This window comes from Homo sapiens, chromosome 7 (genome assembly GCF_000001405.40).
Source record: "Homo sapiens chromosome 7, GRCh38.p14 Primary Assembly".
Lineage (NCBI taxonomy): Eukaryota > Metazoa > Chordata > Mammalia > Primates > Hominidae > Homo > Homo sapiens.
Window position 1 is genome coordinate 141,948,504 of NC_000007.14, and position 10,292 is coordinate 141,958,795.

The following is a 10,292-nucleotide window of genomic DNA, read 5'->3' on the forward strand; positions in this document are numbered from 1 at the left end:
GTCCAGAAGGATCCATATATTTATTGGACAATAAATATGGCCAATTATGCCAGCTATGTTAGGAAGTATGGGAATCAGGAGACTTGGTTATTATTATTTAGAAAGTTTTTAACAGAGACTTTCTGAATAACTTAATAAAATCTATACACTTGGATAGCAAGTGAATCTTTTATAACAAAGAGGTATAAGAGATCTTTCAAATATCATCAAAAGAGAAGAAAATGTCATAGTATAAAAGGATGTCCACAGAAGTTTTGGGGGTAGTACTCTGACTGATGCATTGTGGGACACCTCTGCTCTGCTAGAAAATCTAAAGAAAAATCTAAATTCTTGTTCAAGGCTTCGCACTGCAATGCTTCTCTTAAACTCGACATTATCAGAAACCTTGCTAAAAAAAAGCCAATATCTGCAATGGCAAATGCAACTGAGGGGTTACTAGAGATGAAGTCAATAGCATTGGGGGCCCATGCCCATTGCTTTGGGAAAATAATAAGAAAGGGGCTTCTAGTCACACAATTGTAAGGAAATACCCACACATTGTTTTTTGGGGAAAAAACCATGAGATCACTAATTTTTAATCAGTTATTGCAGACTGGGATAACAAATTCTCTGCTTAGTGAGTCAAATTAGATTTTTTTCACTAGGCTGAGTCCTAAAAATAAAGAAAAAAGTTTTATTGAAGAGTAAAACTGAAATTTAACTTTGGCAATCTTCATGTGACATCAAGTTGGAAATGCTAAGTCTTTAGGGACTGTATTATGCAATATTATAATTGCCTGAGCAGACAACGGAGTCACCTCTACATTGTAATTACCAAAGAGTTAAGAAGACCATGCCCACAATTGTAGGTAATTTGGAAGGGACACAGTGTATGGCTAAACAAGACTTCTGGGTTATCGTGTGTGTTTTGTGGGGGAAAATGGCAGTGTGCAGTGTGTGTGTGTGTGTGTGTGTGTGTGTGTGTGTATTGACATGGATAGTCATTAAAAGCTTTCCTATCCTAACGAGCAAAAAAAGAGGATCTATAACGTTTTCTTAATCCAGCTCCCAGGATCAGCTGTTGATGCTGATAGGCTATGGCACCACACAGCTGGACTGCTATTTTCAGAATGTTTACCCTATGGTGACAGTGGCAGCAACAATACCAACTTGGTGGACTGATCAGACTTTGTCAAAGTAGGAACTGTAACTGCCACATTTGGATTAGGTGTCCATGGGGTATCAAGAAAGGAAACCAAAAGAAGAAAGGACATCCTATGATTCATTAATTGGAGTTTCAAGTGGTATCAACATGAATATTTACAGACATAACTTTATTTTGTATCTCAAGATGATAAAGACTAGTACTGTCTCTTGAGCCTTATTAGTAGCATATATATATATTTATATACATATGTACATACGTAAGTATATGTATATTTCCTTAAATGTATATTGCTGGAATTCTCTCAGGCAGTTTAGTGAGAAAACCTGAAAATTTGAAAGAGACCTGATGTTTCCCCTTATCTTCACAGTCAGAATTTTTGAATGGATTGCCAGTTTTCACAGCCCCCTCTTCCCCACCTCCTGCTTTCTCCTCAGCTCACGCCAGTCTGAGTTCCACTATGACCACATCACTAAGTGCTGACTCCCACTCGATGAATTAAATGGGCTCCTTTCAGTCTTTACGCCACTTGTGGCAGAGGCCCACATTGGCCTACATTGTATAATCTTTTTCTTGGTCTCCATAATTTTACATTCTCCTGACTTTCTTCCCTTCTCCCTGGCCTCTCCATTTATTATTTTTCTCCTCTGCCTATTCCTCAGATTTTGTAGTTATCCCTCCTCTCTTCATCTCACGGTTTTAATCACCATGTTCATGAAGTTGATTCCTAAATCTTTATCAGAGAGCTTCAGATCTATATATCTCTGACTAGCTACATTTTTCATTGAGGTGCTTCGCAGACACCCCAGAGTCACCATTTCCCAAAATGTATTAATTGCTATACCATGGCCAAAACAAGTTCATTCTCTTATGTTCCATGTCTCTGAATGTAAAGACCATTTGTTTAGTTGCCTGAATCATGAAGTGTGGGTATTATCCTTGGCTTCTCTAATTCCATCCCATCTATGATGGTTAATATTGAGTGTCAACTTGATTGGATTGAAGGATGCAAACTATCGTTCCTGGGTGTGTCTGTAAGGGTGTTGCCAAAGGAGATTAACATTTGAGTCAGTGGACTGTGAGAGGCAGACCCACCCTCAATTTGGGTGGGCACCATCTAATCAGCTGCCAGCACGGCTAGGATAAAAGCAGGCAGAGGAACATGGAAGGGCTGGCTGAGTCTTCTGGACTTCATCTTTCTCCTGTGCTGGAGGCTTCCTGCCCTCAAACATCGGACTCCAAGTCCTTCAGCTTTTGGACTCTTGGACTTAAACCAGTGGTTTGCCAGGGTCCCTCAGACCTTCAACCACAGATGAAGGCTGCACTGTCAGCTTCCCTACTTTTGAGGTTTTGGGACTCTGACTGGCTTCCTTCTTCCTCAGCTTGCAGACAGCCTACTGTGGGACTTCACCTTGTGATAGTATGAGTCAATACTTCTTAATGAACTCCCCTTCATATATACATCTATCCTATTAGTTCTGTCCCTCTAGAGAACCCTAATACACCATCTAATAAAACTCCAAGTCATGGTGACTTTACCTCCTCAAAGTCTATCAAATCTATCCTCTTTACTATTTTCTCTCTGCTACCCCTTGGCCCTCTCCTTGACTCCTTCAGTAACCTCCAAAGAAACATTTCTGCCATAATCTTGCCTTTAATAGTTCTCCACTCTTTAGTCAGAATGATCTAAATGCAAACTTGATTATATAATTTCCATGATTAAACATTTTAGTAACTTTCTATTGCATTTAGGACAAGGCTTTGGCCCCTTAACATGGTCTTTAAGTCTTTGCATGTTCATTCTTTTAGCAAACGTTGCTGAGTGCTGCCATGAACCAGATACTCTTCTGGGCAATGAGGACCATGTGCTGGTTCTTCTGTACCTCTCATGACACCACATCTACCCTACCATTGTCTGCTAGTGACATTAAACTTCTAGTTTTTTATGCACTCTCTCCTGGATCCAACTCTTCAAATATTTATCTGACACATGTTTATTGAGCACATAATATGTGCAAAGCACTAACGGCACCACTTGCTGTCTTCCAAACACACACGTATACTCCTATATCCTCTTTGACTAAATAATTCTGACTCATCTTTCAGGTCTGAGCTCACCCTTCAGGTCTCATCTTTTCAGAAAAACTTTCTTGCCGATTCTCTTTCCCTGGCCCAGTTGAGTTTAGTGACTGTTATCTTTGGTGTCGCATAATATCATGTATTTTTTCCTTGGGAGCACTTATTGCATGATAATGCACTTGTTTGCTTCCCCTATTAGACTCTATAAAGTCAGGAAGGCAGGGCTGAGTCTGTCTTCTTCACTGTTGAAGCTCCAGCATATCCACAGTGCTCAGAACACTGCACCATGGAGTTAGGCTTTTAGACTTGTAATCTAAATCTTTATTTGTGAGAGCATGGTAAGGCCTAAAAAATATTTCTAACCAATCAAAAATTTGTGCAATAGTCTTTATACTAGTTGACAAATTTGCTGTCATAGTGTTCAAGAATGATCATTTAAGTGCCAGACCATCTCCAAAAGTATTCATTCCTGATTAAATCTTTCTATCTCAAATAACCACCTTGGAGAATGCATTGTGATTATAGTACTTTAAATAATAACAAACCATCCCCTAGTTTGTAAATAGAGTTAACTTATATTCACCCTTACCATATTAATAAAACTATATATTTTAAAGGAAATTGCTGCTCAGATAATATAACACACCAGAACTCATACAAACCACAGAAAAAGGCTGCTTTGGGAATAATTAGAAGGAACATCTAGTAGAACTCTATTATATATACCTGAACCTGATGTGTCAGAGCTTTGAGGTGAGGGGAGGCTGTGGGGCCTGGAGACAGGCTGATTTAGAGCTTGCAGGAAGGCTGTATGGTTCTGGAGCCTACCAGCAGCAGAGATGCACTTGGCTTCTATTTCGTACAGTGACTCCTTAAATGAATTGGGAATCCCATTGCAGAGAACAGTCATTCCAGTTGGATGATGATGACATTACCCCATTAATATAAGGCTGTCCCAGCACCAAGCCAAAGAAACACTATGCTCAGTGGTCATACTTCCTGCTCAGTTGGTCTCTAGCCTGGCAACACAGAACTAGAGTAAATATAAAACTTCCCCCATTTTCCTTGATCAAATCCTCTAAGATGTGGTATTTGCAATATCTATCAGAACCCATCACTAGGCTTCAGGACTTTGAATATGGGCAAAACTCATTTCTCACTTCAAAGTTTAACATGTGGAAAAAACAATGGGTATGCGAGAATACAGTAACTCAAAATAAGATGAGCATTATGAAGAAAGAGATCCAATGTCCATCTGTGAAACAAAATCATTACAAGACATAGGAAATGTTAGAAAACACCTCATATGTTTTTATTAAGATTTTAGAAAACACTAACTCTATGAAAGAGATATGACTTAATATAATGAAATGGACCAACAAACACTTTGAGATTTAATTGCTGGCTTAAAAAAACAATGAAGTGAAGGGCTCTGAATAGCTGATTGGATACAATAGAAAGAAAATAAGTAAATCAGAAGATATTGAAATATTAATTTGGAATTCAGAGAAAAAGTGAAAAAGAAATACAAGTAGAGGAGAAAGAAAGATATTAATATTAGATCCAACTGATCCTTATACATTCTGTGGCTTGCAAAAGAGAAAGCATGAAAAAATAACATATAAGAACAGCAATAATCAAAGTAATTGTGAAAGAAAATATAAGTGAAAAAGCTGAAAATTAGGCAAAATCAATGAAAGGAAATCTAAACCTAGACATCATTTCGGATTTCTTTAAAAAAGAAATATTCTGGAAGCCTCTAAGTAGAAAAATCTGTGAAGGAAACAAAATATTAAGTGTCTTTAAAATATTTGTTGAAATATTCTAAATCCTAGATGATCATAGATAAACATCTAGGGTTTTGATAGTGAAATGTTGTGACTCAGGAACCAATAATAAAAGTAAAGTACAATCCAGATTCAACTTAAAATTGCTCAGGGATGTGGCTGTCAGAATTCGTGATTTATAGCCCAACTTCCACTCCCTCTAATGCAGAGTGCTCAGAGCCCTGTGGTCTAATGGGATGCCTGGTAAGAGGAAAGGGTCTATCCTCTCTAGTCTAGACGTTTGACTTTCTTCAGAAGAATTCCACAGAAAAATGACACCAGAATACAATAATCTATCACTATATTCTGGGTTACTCAACCTAAATAGCATTGTTTTTATTTATTCATTTAGTTTTTTGAGACAGTCTCACTCTGTCATCCAGGCTGGAGTGCAGTGGCGCAATCTTGGCTCACTGCAACCTCTGCGTCCTGGGTTCAAGTGATTCTCTGCCTCAGCCATCTGAGTAGCTGGGATTATAGGCATGCACTACCACATCCAGCTAATTTTTGTATTTTTAGTAGAGGCAGGGTTTTACCATGTTGGCCAGGCTGGTCTCAAACTCCTGACCTTGGGTGATCCGCCTGCCTTGGCCTTCCAAAGTGCTGGGATTACAGGCGTGAGCCACCACACCCAGCCAAAATACCATCTTTTAAAGAGTTTATTTCACAGTTCTCTGTCTCAGTTCCTTATCCCTTGTAAGCAAGTGCTTGAATGCAGAAACACACTCTCACACCCCATTGGAGAGAGGTTGCAAACTGGTGGCCCATAGATTGCACTCAGTATGCAGCTGTATTTAGTTTGACCTGTTCAGTGTTTTAAAAAATTTGGATCAACATATTGAAATTTAGATTTCAACCGATATCCTAGTACTTAGGAGATCTCACACTATGGAGAACACATGTGCATAGGCCAGTGGTCAGCTGGAGCAGGAGTCAGGCCTCATCAAGTCTGTCTCCAGTCTCACCACCTCTGTGGAAGGAATCCAGTTGCCAGCCATTGTCATGCATGCAAAGCTGTTTTTTTCTTAGAGGAGAGTGAGAATGGTTTACAGTCATACATCTATTGAAAGAGGGAAAACAAAAGATAGAATGAGGAGACCACAGGCTTCCAGAACAATGAAAAACATGTATATACACATATAAACATAAAAGATACACACACACACACACACACACACACACACACACACACACACACGCAGAGAAAGTTTAAGAGTTTTTAGTATTTGGGGACTCTGGAGGCTACATGGCATACCTGGAGGTCAGGGAGCAAGGGCAGGGAAAGAGAGAAAGGGACCTGTGGGCCGAACTTTATTGGGGTCAAGGAATCATCTAAACAGATTTTCCACATGGAGTTTTAATTGGTGCGTTTAAAGCAAGCAGGCATAAGTTCCAGGGGCACACAGAGGTGGTCACTGCAGCATGTCTGCACACTCCATGTTGGGTGTGGGGGTCAGGATGGCAAGTAGAGCAGGCTGCAGCCAGCTGACCTATAATGAGCTGGTCACCAGGAGGCAGTTGTATAAGGCAGCTATCTGACTTGGCCACACAGGAGAACCTGGAAGTGTAGAATTGGAAACCATATCAAGGGTGACTGAGCCCTGAGGGAACGTATTTCTTTGTGAAAATTAGACTATATATATATATATATGTATGTATAAATATGTGTATATGTATATATGTATATATGTGTGTATATGTGTGTGTGTATGTATGCATATACATATATATGTACGTATATGCATACATACACACATATACACACATATATACATATATACACACATATTTATACATACATATGTATGTATATGCATATATACACACACATATATACACACATATTATATACACATGTATGTATATATATATATATATATTTTTTTTTTTTTTTTTTTTTTTTTTTTGAGACGAAGTCTCTCTCTGTCACCCAGACTGGAGTGCAGTGGCGCAATCTCTGCTCACTGCAAGCTCTGCCTTCTGGGTTCATGCCGTTCTCCTCCCTCAGCCTCCCGAGTAGCTGAGACCACAGGCACCCACCACCATGCCCAGCTAATTTTTTTGTATTTTTAGTAGAGACGGGGTTTCACCATGTTAACCAGGATGGTCTCGATCTCCTGACCTCGTGATCCGCCTGCCTTGGCCTCCCGAAATGTGACTTTGCCAAAAAATACAACAAAAGATACCATTATGAAACAAAGAACAACTGTTATCTAGAAAACCTACATGATTAAAACTTAATTAACTAAAAGAAAGAACTAGAATTTACACAGGATGAATTTCTGAATGCAAATAAGTGATGCTATTGTGAAAAAGTGGCCATAAATATTTTACAGATGATGAGTTTCTCAAAGAGTGAAACTACGGAGTGAATGAGAAATACTGTTGCTGAGAATAGTGACCATACCTGGGGACTTGTTGGAGAAAAATGAAATATTCTGTGGTGTTTTATATTGCAGCTGATGAAAACAAAGATATAAATAATTCTAAGCAGCTAGCTATATTTACTTGTGGTACTGATGAAAAATTTTATGCAACCAATGAATTCATTAAAAGGATACCCATGATACATAAAATATCAAGGAATGACATTTTTGTGTGCCAAGAAAAGCCTTGATATTCTACTGTAGAGAAGTCAAATTAGTAAGCATGACTATAGAGAAATTCTGTGATGATACATCTAAAAGACAGACTTATTCATGAATTTAAAACCACTGTGGCAACATTTTGCAATGGCAAGGAAGTGAAGTCTGTTTATTGCATCGTTCATCAGGAAACACATTGTACTAATGTATTTATAGATGTGGTAGTTAACGTAGTATACCAGACATGCTTGAATGTCTAGGACCATAAAATATTCAGTGCTTTGTATGATGAATTGGATGCATAACACGATAATCTGTTGTATTCCACATGTGTACTAAAAAGCATAAATGAACAAAAGAAATATAGGTACACAGGGATTTAAAAGAGTACTACATTTCACTGACTTTGTACATTATTTTTAATACCATCTCTGAATTTGGGATGTATCTTAGTCAATGATAAGAAGGCACTGTGCAGTATTTTAATAGGCAGATTTTAATTTTTCTTTCTTAGTGATATATAAAATTATGGTGCATCTTACGATTGACGTTATCTGAGATTCTGTGAAATATGATTATAAGAGAATGCCACAAATTTAAGCCATTATAATTTAAAACTTATAAAAAATAGATAAATAGCTATATAAATAGAACTTAACAAAATTGACTTGAGAAATAGAAGTTTTGAAGTGCCCTAGCTAAAAGATGGCCCTATGATTTTGGAATAATTGTAAAGCATAAGCTGCCAGAAAATATCATTTGAAAGCAGCAATTTCTGTGATAAGATTAAATTTGAAATCACTTTTGAGGATCAATAGTCTTTGAATTCAGGAAATATTTTGAATTACACAGATACACAATTATAAAGGTAAGACTTACAAATTTTGTGATTGTGGCTGGGGCTGGTCGTAGTAGTCTGTTCTCACGCTGCTGATAAAAACATACCTGGCTGGGCACAGTGGCTCATGCCTGTAATCCCAGCACTTTGGGAGGCCAAGGCAGGTGGATCACCTGAGGTCAGGAGTTCAAGACCAGCCTGACCAACATGGTGAAACCCAGTCTCTACTAAAAATACAAAAATTAGCTGGACATGGTGGCGGGCATCTGTAATCCCAGCTACTCAGGAGGCTGAGGCAGGGGAATCGCTAGAACCCGGGAGGCAGAGGTGGCAGTGAGCAGAGATCGCGCCATAGTACTCCAGCCTGGGTGACAGAGCAAGGCAAAACTCCCTCAAAACAACAACAACAACAACAAAAAACCCCACATACCCAAGATTGGGTAATTTATAAAGGAAAGATGTTTAATGGAATCAGTTTCACAGTTCCACATGGCTAGGGAAGCCTCACAATCATGGCGGAAGGCAAAGGAGAAGCAAAAGCATGGCTTACATGGTGACAGGCAAAAGAGATTGTGTAGGGGAACTCATTTATAAAACCATCAGATCTCATGAGACTTACTCACTACCGGAATAGTATGGGGGAAACTGCTCTGTGATTCAATTATCTCCACCTGGCCCCGCCCTTGAGACGTGGGGATTATTACAATTCAAGGTGAGATTTGGGTGGGGACACAGCCAAACCATAAATGGTGAATTGGTATAAATGGTGAATTGACTATTATACAGGTGCATCGAGCAAAAGGTTCATTATTTTGTTTGGTGATGGATAGTGCATATAATTCTGCCAAAGCAAGATCTCTTTATCTGTTTTTATAGTGTTGTGGCCTATAAACCAATGGTTTATAAACTCAAATACCTATAAGGGCCTGAAAATTAGTATAATGTGTGAAATCAACCAGGGATAAGAAAAACATCTCTCAGAACTATAAAACTTTATTTTACTGAATGAAGCACATAACACAAACATGCATAATATTGGAGAAAATATATTAAATTCATTGAAAAAACACAAACTGGGGTGGACATGGCCACTCATCCCTGTAATCCCACACTTTGGGAGGCTGAAGCAGATGGATCACTTAAGATCAGGAGTTTGAGACCAGCCTGGCCTCATGGAATGACATGTAAATGTCCTATCAGAGAAATATTTAAAGTGCTTACATAGTGTGTAATGTTAACAAAAACAGCCAAATCTATGATGTAATCTTTAAAAAATATTTTACAGGGCCAGACGCGGTGGCTCACGCCTGTAATCCCAACACTTTGGGAGGCCGAGGTGGGCAGATCATGAGGTCAGGAGCTTGAGACCAGCCTGGCCAGCATGGTAAAACCTCGTTTCTCCTAAAAATACAAAAATTAGCCAGACATGGTGGCAGGCGCCTGTAATCCCAGCTACTCAGGAGGCTGAGGCAGGAAATCGCTTGTAGTGAGCTGAGATCGCACCACTGCACTCCAACCTGGGCGAAAGAGCAAAACTCCATCTCAAAAAATTAAAAAAAAATATATATATATAACGTAATATTTCAGGTATACATAAAAGTATAAATGATAATATAATAATAATAAACACCTATCTCCTAACCTAAGAGCTGAACCATTACAAAATAATGGAATCTCTTTTTATACTACTCTTCCATCAGCAGTAACCACGTTCCTGAATGAGGTGTTTATAATTCTCACACATTTCTTCCTGTTTTCTCACACACTTATGGAACCCTGTATAATATGTGGTGGTGTTTTGTAGATATTTAAGAACTGCA

At 38.6% G+C, this 10,292-nt stretch overlaps 1 annotated feature.

Moving 5' to 3' along the window:
* Nucleotides 5,759–6,325: an enhancer, noted in NCBI's record as "OCT4 hESC enhancer chr7:141654062-141654628 (GRCh37/hg19 assembly coordinates)". NCBI's record gives its function as "activates a minimal SCP1, AML or CMV promoter by ChIP-STARR-seq in primed H9 embryonic stem cells {active_cell/tissue: H9 hESC(primed)}" and the evidence as "EXISTENCE:reporter gene assay evidence [ECO:0000049][PMID:30033119]".